General features: G+C 36.9%; 1 long non-coding RNA gene across 2 annotated transcripts; it reads right to left on the reverse strand.

Annotated features, from left to right (window-relative positions):
- Positions 1–740: 740 nt before the first annotated feature.
- Positions 741–26,597, reverse strand: LOC105376496 (uncharacterized). 2 transcript variants are annotated; one of them, XR_930823.1, is made up of 3 exons: positions 26,191–26,597; positions 6,650–6,833; positions 741–895 (listed from the first exon to the last, which is right to left on the reverse strand). It is a non-coding gene; the product is annotated as an uncharacterized LOC105376496 (long non-coding RNA). The 2 variants fall into 2 exon arrangements; XR_930824.1 differs by lacking the exon at positions 741–895 and adding an exon at positions 6,054–6,132.

The raw sequence follows: 26,597 nt of genomic DNA on the forward strand, positions 1-26,597 counted from the left end.
TTTAATAATAACTCGACTCTTAAGTGAATAGTCTACTTTCCCCAATAGAATAGTTTATAGTTTATATAATAGAATAGTTTATAGTTTATAGTTACCAAATGTGTGATCTAAAGAAAATATGGCATTTCCCTCTGAGACAATTAAAAATGCTGTTTCTATGGTCATACCAAGATATGAGCATATCTAGACCAATAACATATAAAATCACTTAATGTTTTTCATGTGCAAGACACTGTGCTAGGGACTGCATTCAAAGTATGAGTAAAATATGCTGCCTGATATTAAATAAGTCATACTGCAGTATGAATAAAAAATAATTACAGTATAATATAGTAATTGATATGACAAAGATAGCTTAAGCTATAGTGCAATAAATAGGGGAAATAATGAGTTTGGAATTAGATATTTTGCTTTGAGTTCTTTTGAAATAACCAAGTATATTTAACAAGTAGCTATTGACTATAAAACACAATAATAAGCAATACTTTGATTAAGAGTTTTTGGGAGTGTTATTTATATCAAATTGAGAAAGTTTTAGAAAGAAATAGTTTAATTGGAATAGCATCTAGTGTTTGTTGAATATTTAATGTCCATTAAGGACTGTGCCAAGTGCTTTATGCACATGATATTAAGTCATTGTAGCAGCCCTATGGAGGGAGTATTTTTTCTGTGTGGGTACAGGAATATTAATGTTTCATAGCAAATAAATAGAGAAGCTGAGATTTCAACACATACCTGCCTGAATTTGAAGCCCGGCCTTTAAACAAGGTGTTCCAATGCGCAACTTCAGTTAGAGGTAGTTTTCTCTGTAATGGCTCTGGATGGGAGGTTTGGAGACTAAGAGTAGGTTCACTAAATTCGAGCCTGATGTGACTGCTTAGGATTCCTGCAAATACTGGATTTGAAGTAGCATCATCAGGTCATATTCAAACTTTGCAACTTGCTCACTGTTTGACTTGACTACATTATTAATTGTCACTGAGCATCAGGGTTTTGTCTATAAAAGAATTATAATGGCTGGGTGCGGTGGCTCATGTCTGTAATCCCAGCACTTTGGGAGGCCGAGGTGGGTGGATCATTTAAGTCAGGAGTTCCACAGCCTGGCCAACGTGGTGAAACCCCATCTCTACTAAAAATACATAAATTAGCTGGGTGTGGTGGTGTGCACCTGTAATCCCAGCTACTTGGGAGTCTGAGGCAGGAGAATCGCTTGATCCTGGGAGGTAGAAGTTGCAGTGAGCCAAGATCGCACAACTGCACTCCAGCCTGGGTGACAGAGTGAGACCCTGTCTCAAAAAAAAAAAAAAAAAAAAAAAAGAATGATAACAGTATACACTTTATAAGAACACTGGGTAGTTTAAAGTAAAATGCATATCAAAGCATCTATTCTGAGCTTGGTACATAGCAATTGATCTATAGAGGTTTGCTTCCTTCCAAGTGCCCTTTCCTGAAGATAATTCATAAAAAGAGCTCATGCCTACTTCAGTTACTATGCCAAGGGTTTTAGAGCAGGGCATCTCAAACTGAGGAATCACTTGAGGATTTGGTTAAATGCAAATTCCAATTCAATAGGTTCTAGGTGGGGACTGAGATTTTGCTTGTCTAATGAGATCCCAGGAGATAGTTGTGCTAGTCTTCTATGACCACATTTTCATCAACAAGTTTTATATTGTTTATCTTTTGTGCTGTTATTAAATACCTCCAGTTCCAAGTCAATTTCTTCCTGCTTGCTTTCATACCAAACAAAAAACAGCTGTTTTCGCAGTCACAGGTGGCGGTGATACTGGAGAACTTCACAACACACTGAGTGCTTATTATTAAAAAAAAAATTGAGCCAGGTGTGGTGGCTCATGCCTGTAAATCCCGGCACTTTGGGAGGCCGAGGTGGGCGGATCACCTGAGGTCGGGAGTTCAAGACCAGCCTGACCAGTATGATGAAACCCTGTCTCTACTAAAAATACAAAATTAGCTAGGAGTGGTGGCACATGGCTGTAGTCCCAGATACTTGAGAGGCCGAGGCAGGGGAATCACTTGAACCTGGGAGGCAGAGGTTGCAGTGAGCCGAGATCGGGCCATTGCACCTCAGCGTGGGCAACAAGAGTAAAACTCCGTCTCAAAAAACAAAAAACAAACAAAAAAAAAAGGAGAAAAAAAACTATATAAACAACTACAGTTACACTAGTGAGCATGCCTCTACTGCTTTAGAGTTTAAAGTGTGCAATCCCAGAATATTATGGCAGATTTTTTTTTTTTTTTTTTTTTGAGATGAAGTCTCCCTCTGTCGCCCAGGCTGGGGTGCCGTGGCGCGATCTCGGCTCACTGCAAGCTCCGCCTCCCGGGTTCATGCCATTCTCCTGCCTCAGCCTCCCGAATAGCTGGGACTACTGGCGCCCGCCACCATGCCCGGCTATTTTTTTTTTTTTTGTATTTTTAATAGAGACGGGGTTTCACCATGTTAGCCAGGAAGGTCTCGAACTCCTGACCGTGTGATCCGCCCGCCTTGGCCTCCCAAAGTGCTGGGATTACAGGCGTGAGCCACTGCGCCCCGCTGGCAGATATTCTTTGAGAGTCTACTATGTCTAAGGCAGTGAGGGAACAGAACCTCATGATGCTCATATTGGCAGGAAAGAAGGGCAGGAAATTTAGTGACAACGGGATTATGTTATAAGATCTATAGTAGACATACAGTCAAAATCGTACTACTAATCAATTAGTAGGCCTATCAATCAATGATTAGGCTGCTAATCGATTGACCTTTGGTTCACAGAAAGGGAGATTACTTCAGTAAATCAGCCAAATCTAATCACATTACTCTTTAAAAGCACAGAATTGTCGTTAACTGGTAGCAGAAGAGAAAATCAGAGAGATTCAAAGAATGAAAAATACTCCACTTGCTATTGCTGGTTTGAAGGTGGAGAGGGCCATGTGAGAAAGCGGCCGTTCAGAGTATGTTTTTTTTTCTTTCTTTTTTTTTTTATTATGCTTTAAGTTCTAGGGTACATGTGCACAACGTGCAGGTTTGTTACATAGGTATACATGCGCCATGTTGGTTTGCTGCACCCTTAATTCGTCATGTACATTAGGTATTTCTCCTAATGCTATCCCTCCCCGTGACCCCCATCCCAGGAAAGGCCCTGGGGTGTGATGTTCTCCGCCCTGTGTCCAAGCGTTCTCATTGTTCAATTCTCACTTATAAGTGAGAACATGCAGTGTTTGGTTTTCTGTCCTTGTGATAGTTTGCTCAGAATGATTGTTTCCAGCGTCATCCATGTCCCTGCAAAGGACAGAAACTCATCCTTTTTTATGGCTGCATAGTATTCCATGGTGTACATGTGCCACATTTTCTTAATCCAGTCTATCATTGATGGACATTTGGGTTGGTTGAAAGTCTTTGCTATAGTGAATAGTGCCACAATAAACATATGTGTGTATGTGTCTTTATAGTAGCATGATTTATAATCCCTTGGGATCACTGGATCAAATGGTATTTCTAGTTCTAGATCCTTGAGGAATTGCCACACTGTCTTCCACAATGGTTGAACTAGTTTACACTCCCACCAACAGTGTAAAAGTGTTCCTATTTCTCCACATCCTCTCCAGCATCTGTTGTTTCCTGACTTTTTAATGATCGCCATTCTAACTGGTGTGAGATGGTATATCTCATTGTGGTTTTGATTTGCATTTCTCTGATGACCAGTGATGATGAGCGTTTTTTCATGTGTCTGTTGGCAGCATGAATGTCTTCTTTTGAGAGGTGTCTGTTCATATCCTTTGCCCACTTTTTCATGGGGTTGTTTGTTTTTTTCTTGTAAATTTGTTTAAGTGCTTTGTAGATTCTGGATATTAGCCCTTTGTCGGATGGGTAGATTGCAAAAATTTTCTCCCATTCTGTAGGTTGCCTGTTCACTCTGATGGTAGTTTCTTTTGCTGTGCAGAAGCTCTTTAGTTTAATTAGATCCCACTTGTGTATTACGGCTTTTGTTGCCATTGCTTTTGGTGTTTTAGTCATGAAGTCCTTGCCTGTGTCCATGTCCTGAATGGTATTGCTTAGGTTTTCTTCTAGGGTTTTTATGGTTTTTGGTCCAACATTTAAGTCTTCAATCCATCTTGAATTAATTTTTGTATAAGGTGTAAGGAAGGGATCCAGTTTCAGCTTTCTACATATGGCTAGCGAGTTTTCATTCAGAGTAGCTTTTTAAAGATTGTATTGATATGACTCAGCTCAGGATTGAGGTACTTTATCAAAAGCTGATAGATAATGTGCTATCTACCTATACTGTGCCTAATACATCTTATAGCATCATCACTCCCTCTGTCCTGTCAGTATCATTATTTAACAAAGATCTATAGTGAAAGTATGTTCAGTATGTTCAAAATTGTACAGTAACATCGAGGTGGACATTTGTATCTCCTGCAAAGGTAAGAATGAGGTAAGGGAAGTCTTCCCAGATGCTATTAGATCCTCCCCACCATAACTATGATGATTATCTTTGTCATTGTCATGCATTGCTATCATCCTTACAATAATCAAATAGCACTTTTTGAGAACTTACTGCTTACCAGGTACTGTAGGAGGCAATGATATACATGATCTCAAACAATTCCCATAACCTCCTCATGACTTAGGTACTGTTATTATCCCCATTCTATAGACAAGGGAATGATGCTTACAGAAGTAAAACAGCTTGATTAGTGTTAAACAGCAGGTCCTTAATTCAAACCTGGTACTTACCAAACAGCCATGATCTTAATCATTATGCCACTACTACCTCAATTCATTTGATTCAAGATAATTGATCATAACAAGTTTCATAGATATGGCTTGTATGTTAATTGTTTCAATTTTACAGTTGAAGACCCTGAGGTTGATATGAATTATTTTCCCAAATAATTGGGTAAAAGATGAGAGCCATACTCAAAGGTTTCTAACTTCAAGTTTTACATTTCTCTATCACATTTTGTAGATCCTCAAATAAAAGTAGGATAGGCAAATTATGAAGTCCATACACGCATACATTTACATTTGACATATGCATGCCAGAGAAATAGATCCCTTCATTTCACAGCCCACAGGTCTATAAATATTATTGTGCTCTTGTTTCAAGTCTTTGAGTTAGTAATAGCATGGTCTGATTTTTATCTTTGGTTCTATTTTCCCTTTGAGCTTTATTTTATTTCTCCTGCTTTTCTTGATTTTTGGGAATTAATTTTTTTAACATTATTAACTCTATAGCTTTTAGTCACCCTTTGAAGAGGTCCTACTGAGTAATGATCTTCTTTCACCTTCTGAACGCTGGGGAAGAAATTTTTATAAACATTGGCTGGAAGGGATGCTTATCTTTAGCTCAGGAAAGCATTATCACCTGTATCTCTTAGTTCTTTTACCTTTCTTTCCTCACTCTTTTTACTTCTTTGCATTCTCTTTCTTCTTACCTTTTCCTGTCTTTTTTTTCTTTCCTCCTCACCATCTTCCCTTCTTTCTCCCTGTCCTCTCTTCCTCTCTTGAATTTAACAGGTAAACCGTGTATTCTCATTTAAAATTTTACAATTGGTTTTCTGCATTTCTAAATAGTGTTGTGCAATGAACTCGGCTTTGCAGTCCAATATAACCAGCTAATACTTTATCTTTACCTTTTGTTGGCTTTGTAATCCTAGGCAAATTGAAGACTCTTAGACTTAATTTGCCCTTTTTAAAAACGGAGGTAATAATACCTTTTCTGTAATACAGTTACAAATCTAATATTGCCTGAGACAGAGAGAAGGTACACAATTGAAAACTCTCTTCCTGTTAAAGAAAATATTTTAAAATCAGGGCCAGGTGTGGTGTTAGGCATTCTTTTTTATGTTTGTCTCCATAAATTGGTATGGCTCAATTTTGCACCAGATTGTAAAATTTCCATTGGCAGAAACTGGTTCTCACTCATATTTTGTCCCAATTGCCCAACCCAATATGTGATAGATGCTCAATAAGTAGGATATGTATTAAATGGAGCCAAAAGTGAGGCCAGATCAAGCCAAGGATGCAGACTTCACTATCAGACAGCCTGGGTGATCTCATTTCACTTTCACCCACAAAGCAGCCTCTGCTACAAGGAAAGCATCTGCTGGTGAGAAATTCTTTGCAGCATTTCCCTGTAAATTGGAGAGTAGAAGAAAAGACTGCTCAACCAGCTGTCGTCAACAACTTAGAAAACTTGAATGTTTAGGCAAGTATAAGTTTCCCATGGTGTTCTCTAATGCTCTTTTCAAGGATACTATTTTTTTAATCAACTGAACAAAAGCCTCATAAAAATAGCACAGTGCGCAACTCTAGCCCACAAAGATGCAGAAGAACATGGTTATGCATATCCTCTCTGGAAGCTTCTACATTGCTTTTGTGGCACTTCTGCTCACTCCTAACATGCTGATGTGCCCAGGTCTCCACCCTATGTGTCCAGAGTCTTGCTGACTCTACATTCTCTCCTTGGGAAAACAACAGTCATTCCATCTGATGCCTCAGAAATCTCTACCCTTCTGATCTGGCTGCCCAGATTGACCCTACCCACCCACCACCTTTTAAATAATTTACAAATGTCCCACAGGCACCTGAGCACATCACAGGAATAAAGTTTATATTCCCCACCTAAACTTGCTCTCCTATGTTTCCTACCTTAGGGAGTGGCACAAGCAGCCACTTAATTCTCACAACAGCCATACAGGTAGATATTATTATCTTTGTTTTGGTGAGTAGAGACCTAAAACTTGAAGACTTCAGGTAGATATAAATCAAAAGAGCCAGCCTTCAATCCCAGATCATCCAACTCCAAAGACTGTGTCTCTTCCAGTAAGCTTTACTAGAAAGGGAAGAACAGAGAGGAAGTAGGAAAAACATATTGGTTTGTCAGTGGAGAAATTATAAAATTCCCTAACTATTGCCTCTAGTATTACTCAAATGAACCTATGTCTTGCTTCCTTGGATCACCCATCCTGCTAAATAAATATCATAAATTTAATGATATAATGAAATTGAAAATAGTTGAAGTTATTTTATTTTATTAAATCACATGATATACTATTTGAGGTTACATCTGCAAATACTCTCTCCTTCACCCATTGCTGAAACAAAGTCCTTATTAATAGAAAATAGCTTCATAATTCTAGGATGGTATAATCAAAACTAATGGAAGGGGAAGTGACAAATTGACCTTGTACTCTAGAATAAGTACTTATTTGAGAACTTTCTATGAGCAAAACACCATTCTTGTCTTACACGCAAGGCATAGATAGAATAGCTGAGAAATTTCAATATTATTTATAAAGATAAGGCAGTTTAAAATACATAAAACTCCTATTATCCTCTTTTTGTCATTGTCTAGATCATGAATGATATTAAACTTAGATGATCTAGAGTCAGCCTAACATGGTACACTTAAAGGGAAGGGGAAAAATGTTAGGAGGATTTATAGGGCTTTGTTTGTGTTGCTAAGGAGTTTGTCAACTGTGAGAGATTATGTTGCCTTTTTGAGGTGATGATTAATTTTTTGAAAACTTCTCTATTATCTAGGATTGCTATAACGTTCATTATTTAAAATATTAAGTATATCTATTTTCATAAATTTTGTATTGAGAGTCTGATGGAAATAACTTGTCAAGGTCCAAATTGACTCCATGTAATGCAGAAAGTAACGGGCAATATCTGCTCTGCATAATCTGCCATAGGCAGAAGGATGCCTAGTGAAGGGAGAGGAGCTGCAAGACACTCAGATGGTTCTTCCTACAGACAAAACCACAAATGAGATCTCCATTGCCAGAAAGTTTTCTGAAGCTTTGAAATTTCAAAAACATAGATCAATGGAAAATGTTTGGGAATGAAAGTCAGGTAGATCAGGGTTTGGACTTTATTCTGTGCGCCTTTCTAATTAGTTACTTTGGGCAAGTATAATAATCTCTATGTCTAAGTTTCTACATTTTAAAAATGACATAAAAATTTTTCAGTGACAGAGTTGTGAAGGTTTAAATACTTGTTGTTGCTACTGTTAAGACCTTACCAAGTTCAGTGCTTAATACATGGAAGAAACTTAAGAAACTTAATACACGGAAGAAACTTAACTATAGCTCTTATATTGCTATTTGTCTGGCAAATTCACATTGGCCAAGCTTGAGAGATTACTATATAAAGCAGTCAAGGTATTAAATATTTAATAGAGGCATATCCCATTCATGTAAACAAAATTTATTTTCTTTTACGCAAAATGTTTTCCTCCCCAATGTAGAGATATAAGCCAGGCTAGCAAACACATATAAATTATTAAGCATTTAAACAAAGCAGATGGACATTGAAGTCCAGTTCCTAGGTATTTACTCAAGAGAAATGAAAATATATGTCCACACAAAGACTTGTACTCAAATTTTCGTGGCAGATGTATTCACATTAGCCAAGCCAAAAACAATACAAATGTGTATGACCTGAAGCATAGAATTTATAAATAAATTTAGTATATCTATACAACAGAATAATATTCATCATTGAAAATAAATTATTGATATACACAAAGAATGGATAAAAGTCAAAACATCAAGCTAAATGAAAGAGGCCACACATAAAAAAACGTTATGATTTCATTTATATGAAATTATACAAAAGGAAAAGCTGCATTGACAGAAATGATACCAATGGTTATCAGGGCCGGGGTGGAATGGGAATGTATTGACTGAAGGGAAACATGAGGGAAGCTTTGGGGTATTGGAAATACATGTTAATATTATCTATTATGACTATCATTATACCACTGTATACACTTGTCAAAATTTATCAAATTGCACACTTAAAATTGTTGAATGTTGTTGTCTATAAAGCATATCTTAATAAAGGTAATATAGAAAAATAAAGAATAAAAATATTAAGTGACTTTTTAAAGTCAAGATCAAAGTTATTTCATTTCCTATTTTTCTAGTGACCAGATTTTTCTAATATGAGCAGATGGGGCCAAAACACAGAATCTCTCTGACATCCTATCTCATGCCAGACTGGCCTTCTAGTGCCTACATATTATTGCCCGAATTTGACTGATGAGGAAACTAAAACTTGGTGAGTCTATATAGCTGAAACGTAGAAGAGCTGGCTGGACTGCAACCCCAGAGCATCTCACTCCAAAACCTATCTCTTCCAATAAGCCTTACCAGAGAAGAAAGGACAGGAGGAAAAAGATGAAAAATGCTGTAACAACAAGAAATGCGAACACACACAAACACACACACACACACAAACACACACACACACACATGAAATGCTTTAGGGATAACTTACAAAACCCTATTTGACCCCTAATATATTCCTTCTGTAACATTAGCTGATCTACAGGTAGAATTCATTTTGCCTAAGTTGGTAATAAATGGTGTTGGCAAATCTTTTCTCCTGTTTTTCCCAGAAACCCAGCCAGGCTACATTTTCCAATGTCCCTTGTGGTTAGATTGGTAATAGAATTGAATTGTAGCTAATGAAATATGATCAGAAGTGATACAACTTGTAGGGATGAACATAAAACCCTTCCACATGTTCCTTTATGAGTTTTGCTCCTTTCAACTTGGGAAAGGATCTCAAGGGTAACCTTGGGAACTATGAATTGGGGATGCCAGAGCTGTCATAGTCTTGGTTCAAGACTGGCTGTGTGGAGAAGAGCTTCTTCCTGCAAAACGAAACACAAATAACACCACCAACTTATTCCTGTCAAACTAGGACCAGTCATTAAGATGAACATAAATAAGCTTCTACTGTGTTGAGCTAGCCACATTTAATTAGATCTATTTGTCACCATAATCTAGCCTACCCTGACTAATACAAATACGCTGGAGGCAGTCTGCATCCTAGTATTAACAGAAGAAAACCTTAAGCAAGTTAAATTTGATAAAATTTAATTGAACAAGGAACAATTCACAAACTAGGCAGCCCTCAGAACCTAAACACGTTCAAAGAACTCTGGTCTGCAACGTCGTCAGACAATATTTATGGATAGAAAATGGAAATGAAGTACAAAAAATGAAAGTGAGGTACAGAGACAGCTCGATTGATTATATTTCAGCATTTGCCTTATTGGAACATAGTTTGAACTGTTGGCCCTCTGCAATTGACTGAAGCTCAACTGCTGTGGTTGGCTGACCCTCAGCTGTTTGTTACGTAAGTATACTCCTAATTTAGGCTTTCAGTTTATGCACTAAGTTAGGTAGCAGTTTGTTATGTCAGGACTCGAGTATGGAGACATCCTCAGGCCAAATTTAGTTTGATATAACACTAGCATCATAGCAGGCTAAGTCTTTTAGTTAAACCTTCGCCAAATCTCGGATTGTATTATTTCAGTTTCAAATTATGGCCCACTCTGAACATTCCGTTCATAGTGAAGGAGATAGTTTTCCCTAAAGCCTAGAAATATCTGGACTTTGGAGCACCTCCGTGTAGAATTAGCAGTCCTTGACCCAGGATTGTCTTACTAAGTTTATGCAAATAAATTATTTCAAGAAAGAGTAGAAGAACCCTGATAAGGACTTATTCTTAAACTAAGTCTGTTAAGGCTCTATCTCCTAGAAAATTTGGTCAATTCAACATTCTCAGAAGTGAGTGCTTCTAGTAGCAGGACTCTTCCTCAGAAGGGGCGTGTGTAATATGAGAGGATTGGACTGTAGAGGGACACTCAGCTCCTCTGAGACAATGCTCACATCACCCAGATTCAATTTTTCTTTCCTTAGGCACTGTCCAGATATGCATTGCCAACATTGGTTTTCCTCTCTCTGCATTTTCCTCAGCTGCCATTGCTGACAACCTATTTTCTCTTAACATAGTTTTCTTCTTTAGCTCAGCTGATACCAATGAGTCAAGTCTTGTTCTGGCTTGGGAACTATTCATTCTCTTTGAGGAGACTCTTCATATTTCTAAACCCATCCATTATATGTTGATTTTATCAGTCAAACATTCTGAGTTTTCTGGAGATAGTCAGGCATTATTTGGCCAATGATTCATGCCAGCTCTCCAGTACATAGATTAAAAAATACACACACACGACAAGAACTTAAAAAAAAAAAGCCTCATCTCATTCAGTCTGTGTTATAGAAGTGATCAGCAATGATTTGCTTGTTTTCCTTTTCTTAGATAATGTAATATAAAAGAAAGAGTCAGATCTAGGTTCAAAGACTTGCACAAACCTACTGGGGATGTGCTACTTGCATCAATTTGTTTGGACTCTCTCACCTATCAAATAAGAAAATTAAAACCATATGTTTTGGGTAATTATTAAATGTGCTAATTTCCTCTTTTCTCAGTTCAACAGAGGATAGGCAGCATTGAGTTTCCCATCCCTGTGAGTACATTACATTCTGTACTATAGGTATTAGGTTGGTGCAAAAGTAATTGCAGTTTTTGCTATACTTACATTCACTTGTAAGGCATTTCTATAGGGTTCTTAAGTATGTGATAAAATGTCTGGTGAAATGACCTATTAAAATTCCTAACAAACTTGAGGGCCTGATGGGCTTTTGAAAATCTCATAGAAGTAGGCCAAGTATGAGAGCAACCTGCAGTGTTGATCTTGCCAGAGTTTTCAGGTTGTGAGTGACATTGAAATCACATGTCTATAACTAAAGAGCCAATGGGTGAGGACCATGATGCATCATGGCCTGGTTCAAGTCCACAGTACAAACAAAAACAATTATTTTCTTATTTGCTGTATTTAATATTGGAATACTTGAAATCTCCTTACAGAATTAAAGGCTGTCTGTGGAAGAGGAAGTCTTTGGGACTATATTAATTCAATCTTACAATGAGCTGTAATTTAAATTCTCATTGAAGAACATGTTTTACAAAATAGTTGATAATAAATCATACTAAGTACACAAAAAGTTGTCTAATCCTGGAAGTATGTAAGTAGGACCTGGGTGACAGTTTCTTAGGGTAAAAATGGAAACATCACCGTTAAAAGCTAGGACATCACCTGGTGGCGAGACTGTTCTAAAACTAATTGCGTGACCTTGTGAAAGTCACTTAACCACTTTGACTTTTAGTTTTATTATCAGTAAGTCACTCTTGTAATCCTTACTACAGAAGATTGTTATGAGGAACAGAAATATCTATAAGGTACCTAGGCAATTTGTGTAATATAGCAGGCAGTAAAATATGGTGGCAGTAGTTGCTATTTAAAAAAAATTCCTACACTGAGTTGTGTCTTCATAAAATCACTATCTCTGGGATCCTCTTGATTGAAATGGTGGTAATGTCACCTGCTCTGTGATGTTTTGGTGTGCATCAAAAAGAGAACACAAATGCAATTGCTTTGCAAACTGTAAACATTCTGTAAACCTAAATAAGTTTTGCATTATACATGTCATTATTATTATTATTACTGTCCCCTTCAATTCTAAATTTGTGATTTTGGATACAAGAGAAACAAAAGAATCACTGAATCACACGGGAAATGATTATTTCCTCCAAGATTAGAGTCCCCTTTTATATTAAAAAAAGAAAGCAAAAACTATTGAGCCAAATATTAAATGACTTAAAACAAAAAAGCCAAAAATCTTAGCGACATCTCTCACTACAGTTCTCAAGGAGTAATCTATACCCTCATCTTCATGGGCAGGTTAGGTCACTACTGATCACCTAGTGAAAAGTGTCCACTTAATAACCCCATCACATTTCACTTTTTATACTTACTGAATCAGTCTAAATATCTTTCCTCTCCTCCTTTAACATCAATGCTTAGCAAATACATATAATAGCCCTTACCCAAGTTAGCTATTCTGGTATTTTAGTCTTTGGCAGTTTATGTTTCTTTCAATTAACATGTGTTTGTAACTTCCCTAATGTCTTATTTCCTGCTTAACAGAATCTTTGTTTCCTTATTTAGAGATGATATTTAATATTCTTCATGCAGTCTCATTGAAGCCTTACGGGATGCTATCATGAATATATTAGCAGTAAAACAGTTTTATTTCCTATAGCATCAAATATATACTCTATTTCCCAACATTTTAAAGAGTGAATATTACAAAGCAGAGAAATAAGGCAATTGATTTGTGTAAGACTCAGTCTCAATACATGAGCCCTAATTTTTTAATTAATATGAGAATGACTTCTCAAATGAGGGTTACAAAGAGAAATTTTAAATACCCTTGCCCAGACTGTGGAGTCCTAATTCAATTAACTGTTCTGCAGATTTTCACTGACCCGTAGTCATCTTTGACATTTTTGAGCCCACAAGCTATAAACAAATTTTAAAAAGCCAAAAAACTATATGAAAAATTAAAAACTATGGGCCGGGTGTGGTGGCTCATGCCTGTAATCCTAGCACTTTGAGAGGCCGAGGTGGGCAGATCACCTGAGGTCTGGCCAACATGGTGAAACCCCGTCTCTACTAAAAATACAAAAATTAGCTGAGCGTGCTGGCAGGCACCTGTAATCTCAGCTACTCGGGAGGGTGAGGCAGGAGAATCGCCTGAACCTGAGAGGCGGAGGTTGCAGTGAGCCGAGATCGCGCCATTGCACTCTAGCCTGGGGAAAAAGAGCGAGACTTCGTCTCAAAAAAAAAAGAAAAAAAAGAAAAATCAAAAACTACAACAACAACAAAAACAGTCCCTCGAGGTTAATATTTATTTAGAATATTGTGAAATATGAAGTCTTCTCAACTGAGAATTCACTTCCCTGCATTAAAAAAATAAAAACAAAACAAAGAAGAAACAGGCAAGATCTCTGGAGAAAATGGCTAAAACCAAGGCTGAGTTGAAATCTTCCTTTTTCTCCAAAAGAAAGGTATCTCACTGACGACCTCCTCATGGCTGGTGTGTCCCTTCAGAGAAGCCTCAGATGTGAAGGGTAAATATCCCCTCAGGCAAGAAATGGTAACCGAACAAAAAGCCATGGACACTTGCCATTGTCTCTCTACACAAACTGTTTTGTTGAACATACTTTATAGAGTAGGGGTGTCCAATCATTTGGCTTCTCTGGACCACACCAGAAGAGTAAGAATTGCCTTGGGCCACACATAAAATACACAAACACTAATGATAGCTGATGAACTTTAAAAAATCTCAAAAAAAAACTTGTAATGTTTTAAGAAAGTTTATGAATTTTTGTTGGGCTGCATTCAAAGCTGTCCTGGGCCACATATGGCCATATGCCACAGGTTGGACAAACTTGCTGTAGAGCTTTTCTCCCTCATTGTCTAGAATAATGCATGACTGCAGCCTATCAGTTTACCATCACCCATCCCTCCACCTATTCTGTCATCACATGTTCACTGAGAGTCTACTGTGTGCCAGGCATTGTAGGTAATGGGGATATAGAGATACAGAAAAGATAGTACCTGTTTTCAACGGTATACTTTGAGATATTTCAAGGGTAACATATTTTTTTCATAGGCTCTTACAGAGACCAAACAACAAATACGTGGTAAGGCATAGTACATTGTAAAAAATGTAAGAGTAGGGTAACAAGAGAAGTGGCTGAACATGTGTATATAGAATTAATTATAAGACACTTGTGCCCAACTGAGTCAAGCAGGTTTTCATATGGCTCCGTTTGCAAATATTTTGACACACTAATTGTTTAAAGGAAGTTAAATACACAGCATTTCCAAGCTTACCGAACAATGGGAATTTAGTTTAAGTTTGCTTTTGTTTATCATGGAGCTATGACTAAGAATTATTTGGAAATTAAATTGCAGATGATAGGAAGCCATTGGGTGATTAGAAACCAGGATAGATCATGCACAGATTTAAATTTTCGCAAAATACTCTTACATCAATGGCAGAATAATTGTTATAAAAAAGAGAGGATAGGGAGGAGAGTAGTTGAAGTATCTAAATATTAGTCCAAATAAAGAACAAGAAAAGTCTGCACTAAGGTAGTGATAGTTGAAAGAAAAGAGAACACATAGAGAGCTTGTTGATTTTCAGAATTTCTGGTAAGGCTGAACTGTATAGAAACTAAGAGGACCAGAAGGAAAATAAGGGAAAAGGTAATGTGTGCACTTGGACACATTAAATTTGAAGAGCCTTGGGTATGAATGTTCGGTAGGACATTCTGGCATTGTGAAGAGGTATAGGTAGTAGTGAAAACTATGGTAGTAGATGATATTTTCTGGAGTTATAAAGGCAAGAGACTAAACTACTTTGTGATTTTTGCAGAGTATTTAGGACTCCGATTAAGGAGTCTACCTGTTATACATTGGGCATTTATGACATAGTGTCTCCAGCTGTTCCCTCGTACAGTTGTTTTATCAAACTCACCTCCCATTCCACATGTGCAAGATGAAAAAAAAAAGCTAATACATCACTTAACCATTAACTCCAAAAAGCAGAATAAAAGGCTAAGTGCAATGTAAAAATCATCTTACAAGGTTTAAAGCATACTATCTCCATATGTTCATGTTCTACTAGAATTTTTCTTACAAGATTGATCTTGAAAACAATTTCTACATAGAGTAGGCCCTCTGTATCCATGGATTCTGTATGTGTGGATTTAATGAACCATGGATCAAAAATATTTAGAAAAAGGTTTCTTCTGTACTGAACATGTATGATTATATCATGTTAAGTGTTATAGGTAACCTAGAGATGATTTACAGTATAGGGGAAGAGGTACCCAGGTAATATGCAAATACTCTGTCATTTTATATGAAGAACGTGCAACATCTTAGATTTGAGTGTTCATGGGAGATCCTGAGCTCAGCTGCACACTAATACAGAGAAACAACTGTACTATAAAGTCTAGAGAAGAATGAAGAACAAGAAAAATATTTCTACAGGCAAAGGATCCTTGGAGACTTTTTTTCAGTGACATATGAAACTTGTTTTATAAACATCATATTTTGCTATGAATTCAGATGTCTTTTTTTTTTTTTTTTTTTTTGAGACGGAGTCTTGCTAGTCGCCCAGGTTGGAGTGCAGTGGCACGATCTCGGCTCACTGAAAGCTCCGCCTCCCAGCTTCACGCCATTCTCCTGCCTCAGCCTACTGGGTAGCTGGGACTACAGGCGCCCGCCACCGCGCCCAGCTAATTTTTTGTATTTTTAGTAGAGACAGGGTTTCACCGTGTTAGCCAGGATGGTCTCGATCTCCTGACCTAGTGATCTGCCCACCTCGGCCTCCCAAAGTGCTGGGATTACAGGCGTGAGCCACCGTGTCCATCCTGAATTTAGATTTCAAACAAGTGTTTTATGTTAACTAAAAAATAAAAATTTTTTCCTTAAAGTTTCACCTGGGGAATAAGTTAAGTAGAACTGAGCATCAGAAAGTAACACGAATATTTGACTTTTAATTTAGCTTCCTTCCTTTTATTTTTCAGTGACTGCCTCCAACTGCAATTTATAGTGGTGATGAAGGAAGAGGTGAGCTAGCACAGGGGCAGGTTGGTTGTGTAGAAAGAGGAGAACTCCAAGCTGCCAATATATTTTTGCAGTAGTGGAACGACGTTTATTTCTATTCTGGTGTTGCTATCAACTATCTGTGTGGCTGTAGTAGAATTCCCTCATTTCTCTAAATCTCACTCCCATTATCTGTAAAATATTAGACTAAAAAGGTCCCTTTCAGCTTTATGCTTATATAATTTAAACATATCATATTTTCTTTAACGCTTCTGTAAGTATGCCCGAAAGCTGGTTTAGAAAGGAATGTCATCAAAAAGAACATACTTAATATTAAAGAGAAGAAAACTTTCTAATTCCTAACATTTCTCATTCAGAACACAAGACCTTACTGTACTTGCAACTATGGACTGCGCCTTTTGTCATAACAGTATTAATCAAAGTAGTACAGACATTCAAAATATCCATCCCAGGAGAGCCATTTGCATTTATTCTTAAACGTCCATTAGCATATTTCTGATTATTATGATCATTGAACTGTACCTTTCTAAAGCTGGAGTATAGACATTATTGCCAAGTTGCTACCTCTGTTTATTTCACCTGTATCATTAATTCTAATTCTAATTCTAATTAACTCAAAACAAACTGACCTACTATATGAATTTTTATTCTTATCTGAACATTTTCTTGGTTTAGTCTTTGATAGCATCAGAAATATACTATGACATTAAAAATTACTGCAGACCCCTTCTAATAGTTCCCTATTGGTTGTCTATCCTCTGTTGACTGCATACTATATTATTTATGGCAAATGGAAGGCTCACAGTGAAATTCTTGATTGTACTGTGTCAATATATAAAGTCAGTTGAACATCTGAATGTTTCTAAAATCCTTTGAAATTACGTCTGCCACATCAAAGGAATGTTGCTTGAGAAAAATGATAGTAGCTATCAATAAGCACCATTTAAAAGCACCCCTTTTAAAGATTTTACTTTACATTTTCTAAGCAAAATTTGGTCTGGTTTTATAATACCAGAAAATAATCACTGAGTCAGAATGGCAGGTGGAGCAGGAAAACACTTTGGTTGAGGGGTGGGGGTAAGAAAATATCTAATAAGGTATGATTGGCATTATTACTAGAAAAAGGGTAAAAGTTGGAGAATTGTGGGGTGGATGTTGAGAGAAATGACCATTCTCTTTTCCCAAGAACTCTGGCCAACTGGGTAATAAATGAATCATAGCTGGTGGCTGGAAGAAATGTTCTCATATATATTTTACTGAGAGAGTTCTGTCTATATGAAACAGCATATATTATTGAAAAAGTTATTTTTATACCATCTACAGACCCTACACACAAACGTCAAAGCTAGGTGGGAAAAAAAGGAGTTAGTCTTAATCTTCAGAAAAGACAGACAAAATAAGAAACAAAATTAAGTTGAAAAAATAACTGTCTCTCAGATGACAGTACTTTCCTGTTTTCTCAAATGCATCTTTTATTTGGGGTTAGTGAAATTGATTCATGCTCTTTGGTCTGAAAATATTCCCACACAAACTGATTTCCTGAGTGACACAGAACTGTATCAAGTTTTTAGTCTAAATTCATTCACTAATTAAATATCATCTAGCAACAAGTGTTCTAGACATATTAATGAGTGTTGGACCCATTAGAGATTTTGTAAGCAAGTCTATTCTGAGTTTTAATTCCATTTTGTTACCTAACTTTCTGTGATTCATGTATGTCTTGCTCTTAATTGGTTGTGAGTTGTTTGAGGAAGGGGTCTTTTCCTTCACAATCCTGTGTCTCCAAGATTAACCAAAGTGTCTGGTACCTGGGGTGGACCTAATAAGTGTCAGTGGTATTCATGCACAGTAAGAATACTGTACCCATCATCTGTACTTTTACCTCTTTTTGTCATACAGAGAAGTAATTTATTTCCCTGGTATTGGTGACCAAGAATCTGTAAGCTACAAAAAATTTCCCTCAAGAAAGTGAAAGGAAGAAAAAATTACTGAGCACTTGCTGTCTGTTAGATTATGTCAAGGGTTATCAAATATATTGTTTATATTTAAATTCTCACAGCAACCTTGGTAGGGAGGTATTATCACTCCAGTTAACAAATGAGGAAAAATGAATGCTCAGAAAGATGGATTAACTTACTCTTGACCTTTAAATTCATAAGTGGCAGAATCAAGATATGTGTCACATGTAATTTTCAGACTGTGCATCAACATAGCCATAGAAACAATCAGGAGTGTGTAAGTGTGTGTGTGTGTGTGCACGCACGCATGTGTGTGTGAATGTGGTGTGTGTCTAGAAAGAGAAACAGAGTTAGAGAGAGCAGCTATCCTTTATGAATGTCCTTAAGTGATTTTGTTCCACTGATGGTCAGTTGACCAGTGCATCCTGTACTGATACTGATCCATCATGCTAGAAGAAAAAATGAAGCCATCATCGTGTCTTTCCAAACAGCCCCGAAGCAATCTTCCTCTGCTAGACTTCTGGGATACTAGGGAGGACACAATCAGATTCTACCTAGCAGTATAGACAGTCCCATAAATTAATATCTTTTTAAAATTTTAAGTTTGGGGTACCTATACAGGTTTGTTACATAGGTAAATTTGTGTCATGGGGATTAGTTGTACAGATTATGTAATCATCCAGGTATTAAGCCTGATACTTATTAGTTATTTTTCCTGATCCTCTCCGTCCTCCTACCCTCCACCATCCTATTGGCCCCGTTGTCTGTTGTTTGCCTCCACGTGTTATCATTTAGCTCCACTTATAAGTAAGAACATGCTGTACTTGGTTTTCTGTTCCTGTTAACTATTCGTCCGTTTGCTAAGGATACCATCTCACACCAGTCAGAATGGCTATTATTAAAAAGTCAAAAAATAACTGGTGCTGGTGAAGTTGTGGAGAAAAAGGAACACTTATACACTGTTCGTAGGGGCATAAATTAGTTCAGCCATTGTGTAAAAGGGTGTGGCAGTTCCTCAAAGACCTAAAAACAGAAATACCATTTGACCCAACAATCCCATTACTGGATATATACCCAAAGGAATATAAATCATTCTATCATAAAGACTCATGCATGCATATGTTTATTGCAGCACTATCCACAATAGCAAAGACGTGGAATCAGTCTAAATGCCCATTAGTGGCAGACTGCAGGTTGATTATTCTTCACTCAAAACACCACTCACACATTGTGGTGTCTTCATTTAAGAGGTTCACTCAAAATAGAGTATGTCCTATTCCCCCTCTACATTGAAAAAGAAATGCCTGTTTATCCGTTAAAACCTCTCTTAAATATGATCTTCCCATGACACCCTCCCCAGCATTCTCACAGTGTTGGTCATTTCCTCAGTACTTTGTACTGGTCTACATTGTAGCATTTATTACATTCTCTGAGAATATTTCCTTATTTGCCCCTCTTCTGCAAGATATTCTGGCATGATGTTTGACAATATTCTACCCACAAGGTAATATTTTCTGAAAGAAACTGAGGACTGATTAGGACCTCAACTTGATAAGAAATGGTCAGTGATCAGCATTTTATTCACGTTTTCCTTAGGCACCACTAACCCTTATGTAAGTCCCTATCTTGGTCTTAGAAGAAAAAGAAAAATTAGTATGGAAAATTCTAATCTCACTCTTACTACTAGAAAGAAAATTTAAGGCTTTTATGCTTATTTCTTCTTCCATGTCTGCAAGAAGTAAGGAGTTGAAATAGAAAGAAGTGTTAATATTAAGAAAATGAAAGAGAGATCAGAATGGAATTGAATTCCAATCCTGACATACCATTTAATTATACTGGGCCTCTATAGAGCATACATAAAAAATGAAAATAAAATAATAGTGGGACAAAATAATATGTATCTCACCTTTACATACCTAATATATTTAAAAGGCACTGACTTCAAAATTTGAGCTGAATGAAATTTTACTTTTACTCTTGCCTTTTCTTTGATTCACCCTTTCATTCTTTGGCTCTGTTTCTCTAATTCAGCTGTTTTCTTCTTCTTTAAAACGCAACTCAAAGATCACCTCATTCAAAAAGTCTTTCCTGTCTGAACTAATAGAATTGTTGTGTGTAGATAGCAGAGGGAGGGTCTTCTCTGTACAGCTATATGCCCTAGGATTCCTTCTGAAATATCATTTTGTGCAGTCCTAATAGTGTATCATTTCTTTTCTCTAAAATCTATCTCTCTTATTGGAAGAACTGTATCTTAAACTACCACAGTTCCTAGTACAGGGTAACTATTGAATGAATATATGTTAGATAAAACTAAAATCTGAGCCCCTGCTATGCATTTTATCTTTATAAAGACACTTATGAACCACCTCAAATTTAACTTATTTTGAGTATTTTGTTTCTCCCACAGTGTTTCCTAAACAATCCAACACAAGGTTTATATACTGTGGCTTATCAGACAATGTTTACTAATGTAAAGGAATCTAGGGAGCTATAATCAAACAAGTCATTTCTTCAAACTATCTAAACAAATTGTATTCTTAACCATTTTATTCCATGTGTCTTGATTTTTTTTTCCATTTTACAAATAGTAATAGAAGGCTTCAAAACGTTTGAATTTTGAATTTTAATAAAGTAAGAATCTGAAGATATATACTCCTGGCCCTCCCCTATGCAATTCAACACCACAACCATTTATTGCACAGTTACAGGATGCAATTGTCATTATCCATAATTGATTATGATGTTAAACAATTTGAAGATGCCTAATCAAAAGACAAAACTAAGTTGCTCGTACAGAAACCATCTTTTCTCCCAAGAGGATCACCTTTACCCAATTCTACCAAGTTTTGTTATGACTGGCATGTCATTTTTCTTATATAAATGACATGCAGTAGTAACCATCTATAATCACAATTATTTACATTTTTATCTTGCTTAGTTGTTAGCAGAGCATTTTCACATGTATTCAATCTTTTGAGGAAGGAGAGGGATTGCTTTAGTTCCATTCTACAGATAAGGCAAATGAGTCTGAGGTACAGTTATTTACAGAAAATTACTATGAATTTAGAGAGCAATGTCATGCTGGAAATCTTGCTTTAAATAATTTCACTGAAATCATAATCTATTTCACCAATAAGTGAATATCTTACTGTTTCTTCAGCAGTAATGGGAGCATAACCACACAATTTTGATCTATGTGTCTAATTTTTCTATGTTAGGAGTTTTCTTTTTAAATATCATTTTATTTTCATTGACCTTTTCCCTGTTGAAGATTGACATATGTGAACAATTAATTTTGTATTAATTACTGCCTAATATCATTAGTGAAAATAACCATTGTTTAAATTGTAATTATTATCTTAATAAAATACTCATTTGTTCTGCACACATTTGGCTAAAATGTTGCTGATGCAATGCAGTTGCAGAAATGAAAATCCAGGGTTATCCCTTCAAGGAAGTAAATTAATGCCTTGATAGCGAGACATTATTTCATTTAACTGACCATCTCTCATCACTTAATAGTAGCTCCTGTTGCACTGTGTGAGGAAGAATTATGAGGTTGTGTCTAGTCTTAATAAGAAAGGAGGTTATAATCAACTAATAATGTCTACAGTAGGAAAAGTAGGAGAAATAACAGAACATAGGTTATAAAAATGCCTGGTATAGTGGATAATAATTCCTTGGATTTGTTAGTAAATGTGTTTTGGTTTTCACAATAAAAACGTGCATTTTTAAAATTTTATAAATAATATGTGCTCATTGAACAAAAATGAAAAATACTAACTATGTTTAGGAATAAAATGGAAACATATTCCTCCACCATATTTCACTCTGAGATGGCTACCACTAATGTTTGGTGATTATCCTTATATAGTTTATGTCTATAAACAAAAACATGCAAACAATATTTATATACTTCAGATTAACATAGATTATATCACACACATATACTTATCTTGGATATAGATAGTTTTTATTTTCAGGAAATTGTTTTGTAAGTTTTCGGTTTGTTTGCTGTTCTAATGCCAATATTTTCTCTTCTTCCACCATCCTTACTTTACCTGGCCCATGTAAGGATTGCTGATATTTATCTATGCTGATGGAATTCCACCATTATATATCTACAGATGTATTTACATGTAAATATATAGATACAAATATACTATAAAAATATATTTTTATATATGGGCGTATGTATAGTTTTTATCATTGTTTAAAATCAAACATTTTTTACATATTTCCCAACATATCAACATTGTTTATTTAACAAAACAACTTGGAAGTCCCTGCCAGTTAACTGCTGAGCTATATTCTTTTTTTTTTGAGTGTAGTGGCGTGATCTCGGCTCACTGAAATCTCTGCCTCCTGAGTTCAAGCGATTCTCCTGCCTCAGTCTCCGGAGTAGCTGGGACTACAGGCACCTGCCACCACATCCAGCTAACTCTTTGTGTATTTTTAGTAGAGATGGGGTTTTGCTGTGTTGGCCAGGATGGTCTTGATCTCCTGACCTCGTGATCTGCCCGCCTTGGCCTCCCAAAGTGCCAGGATTACAGGAGTGAGCCACCGCACCTGGCCTGGGCTATATTCTTTAAAGGCTTTTTGATACAGTTTACAAAGCACTTTGAAATCTAGTTTTTTATTTACCTTCAACAGACTAGTGAGGTAGTCAAACTAGGAAAGAAACTGTTCTTTCTTTCTTTTTTGAAGAATTCTTATAATGAATAAACTATAGTTTGGGGGGATTAAGTGACTTGTCCAGGTGAAACAAATATTAACTGATAAGAAACAAAGTTTTACCGAGGTCATACTATCCCAGGCCCATTGCCCTTCCGATTCCTATAGTAATTGCCACAGTTAACTTGACGGCACTCAAGGGAAAGAAGAAAAGGCTCTGCATGATAAACTTTTCAGTGAACTCATCCAGGGTCACTGTCAGGATGATCTACGTGGGAAGTACTATTCTATTCAGATTACAGAATAAGACTCTGAGATCAAAGTCTATAGAACATGCTCAACTTTTCCTATCAAGGAAAAGGCAAGAACTAAGCCTACTGTGTGCCAAATCCTACATTTTTAAATTATAATATATTAAATTTGGGTCTGAACATTATGTGTCCTTTTTGATGGTTACTTAAAAATAACCTTCTGAGGCCATATCATTATTGTAATTATTTACCTTTGTACCTCTTTCTAGGAAATGAAGATTTCAGAAACGTAAATGCAACAGAGATGGAGATTTTCTTTGACTGATTGGCACTTGGAGCCATAGGAAAAATAATAGTACTATTGATGAGACAGAGTACCATCCATTCTTACATTGCAGTCACATTGGATCTACACTGAATTAACAAGTAAATATTTTTGGTCCAGAATTAGGACTTCTATGACTAAAGATAATACATTTTATCTGTGCACTTCTGATTTTTTTTTTTTTTTTTGAGACAGAGTCTCGCTCTGTCGCCCAGGCTGGAGTGCAGTGGTGTGATCTCTGCTCACTGCAAGCTCCACCTCCCAGGTTCATGCCATTTTCCTGCTTCAGCCTCCCGAGTAGCTGGGACTACAGGCGCCCGCCACCACGCCTGGCTAATTTTTTGTATTTTTAGTAGAAATGGGGTTTCACTGTGTTAGCCAGGATGGTCTCCACCTCCTGACCTTGTGATCCACCGGCCTCAGCCTCCCAAAATGTGGGGATTACAGGCATGAGCCACCACAACTGGCCTGTGCACTCCTGATTTTTAAGGACGAGGCTGAGTGAGACTGAGGCAAAATCCTTTGGCAACTGCAATAATATCATTTATTTACAGCATATGAATAAGTTTCAAAAAGCCACATATATTATATAATTCTATTCACTACATATAAGCCATGTACAGTGATATGGATTTTCCTCAGATGAGCAATGTGACTATGTGAATATTTCAAGGGCTTGTTAATAGGTGTGTATATTCACAGGTGTATGTGTGTAATACCAACAGACATCCTGGCTTTGTAGTAGATGCCTGTGTTTTGTATTATGCAAAATTTATTAAATCCTGAAAAATAGTGGATGGGTGATAAAAAGAAAGTGCTGCTTCACCAAGAAAAAAATATTCTGAACCTTAGACTATAGATGGTAACTTAACATATGCCACTATAAATTGTAGTCTGTTTGACCAATTGTTTTAAAAGAGATATTTTAGACCTATAAATAGCATAAAATGTGCTCTATTGTATTTGTTGCTTACCATCTACAGAGTACTAAACCCTGTAAAAAAACATAAAAATTACAACAAACTGCCCAAATCTGTACAATAGAATGTGAAGCTAAGTACAAGCAGTTGTGCTAGGCATTATGACTGTGTAAATAGGTCAACAACCTAGTGTTCACACTTTCTTCATTTTATTTTTTATCTACCATTTAAATATACAAGCCTACATCCACAAAAAAAGGACAAAGGTGGTAGTATTTATGCATGTGCTACTTAAAACATTTATTACTCTGTTGCCCACTGTATCTAAGGCATTAAACTAGGTGTTGCCATATGCATTATCCCATGAGATGACCATATGAACTTCATGAAGTGGTCATTATTATTCTCACATTACCAAAGAGTTAACTTACTCTTCTTACGACTTGTGGCGGAATTAGTATGCTGTATTAGTCCATTTTCATACTGCTATAAAGATATACCCAAGACTGGGTAATTTATTTAAAAAAAAAAAAAGGATTAGCCAGGCACGGTGGCTCATGCCTGTAATCCCAGCACTTAGGGAGGCCGAGGTGGGCAGATCACCTGAGGTCAGGAGTTCGAGACCAGCCTGGCCAACATGGTGAAATCCCATCTCTACTAAAAATGCAAAAAAAAAAAAAAAAAAAAAAAAAGCCAGGCGTGGTAGCAGGTGCCTGTAATCCCAGCTACTTGGGAGGCTGAGGCAGGAGAATCATTTGAACCTGGGAGGCAGAGGTTGCAGTGAGTGGAGATCATGCCGTTGCACTCCAGCCTGGGTGACAAGAGTGAGACTCTGCCTCAAAAAAAAAAAAAAAAGAGGTTTAGTTTAGTGGGCTTACAGTTTCACCTGGCTGGGAAAGCCTCACAATCATGGTGGAAGACCAAGGAGGGGCAAAAGCACATCTTACATGGCAGTAGGCAAGACAGCCATGTGCAGGGGAACTGCCCTTTATAAAACCATCAGATCTTGTGAGACTTATTCACTATCACAAGAACAGCAAGGGCCAAACCCGCCCCCATGATTCAATGACCTTCCACCAGGTTCCTCCCATGACACATGGGGATTATGGGAGGTTCAATTAAAGATGAGATTTGGGTGGGCACACAGCCAAAATATATCAGATGGTAAATCAATTTTATCTGATTCAAAGACAAGTCTCCTGTACTACACCTTAGCCTACCATTCAAAAAGCCCTAATTGTTACATCACTGCCTGCTGATGTGAAGATGTTGTTATTCTAAAACATGAAGGGTCATCCCTTTTCAGACACAAATGTAATTCCTAAATAGTACATTTTTTTTTTCTCTGTAGAGATAGGGGACAGAAGATAATAATGCAGTTGGGTAACATTATTAGTAAGTTGGATGTTTTATACAGCCCCTAATTCCTGGGAAAATTCCAACACAACCCTCAGATGCTACTTGGTAGAAATGAATTATAAATAATTTTTACAAGTCTCTACAAGAGTTAGCATTAATTGAGCCATTTCAGTGTATGGAGTGGTTCAGGATTATATACAGGATCTTTAAACATCTTCTTTTCTTTTTTTTTTTTTTTTTTTAGAATTTCAGTTTTATTAAAACAAGCATAATGTATAAAACATCGTGGTGTTGTATAAATGTCTGCCTGACAAATGCAAATCTATTTCCTCTATGTAACTCAATAGCTCAGCTTACCTGAATGGCTGTACCTTCACGCATTCGGGCAGCAGGGACTGCCTCACTCAAACAGGGCAGCGAGGCTTCACGCCAGTGTGGCTTCATCTCATGCATAGAGCTCCATCTAACTGCCCAGATCTGTGCCACCCACACAATACCTGGGGACACAGCAGCAGACACCGACGCTGTCTCTAAGTTTGTCATAGGAACAGCTTAAAATCAGTTAGAGCAATAGGGAACTGCTGATCAAAACCCAAATGCATGGACATTCCAGAAAGAAGAGCAAGCCGTTACCCTCTCTGGGAAGTCCATGGGCTTGCAGTGGTAGTTTGAGGTCCCATCTTTGCTGGAACAGCATGGTTAAAAAACCAAACTTGGCTTGGCGCAGTGGCTCACGCCTGTAATCCCAGCACTTTGGGAGGCCA

The sequence above is a fragment of the Homo sapiens genome, chromosome 10 (genome assembly GCF_000001405.40).
Source record: "Homo sapiens chromosome 10, GRCh38.p14 Primary Assembly".
Taxonomy (NCBI): Eukaryota; Metazoa; Chordata; class Mammalia; order Primates; family Hominidae; genus Homo; species Homo sapiens.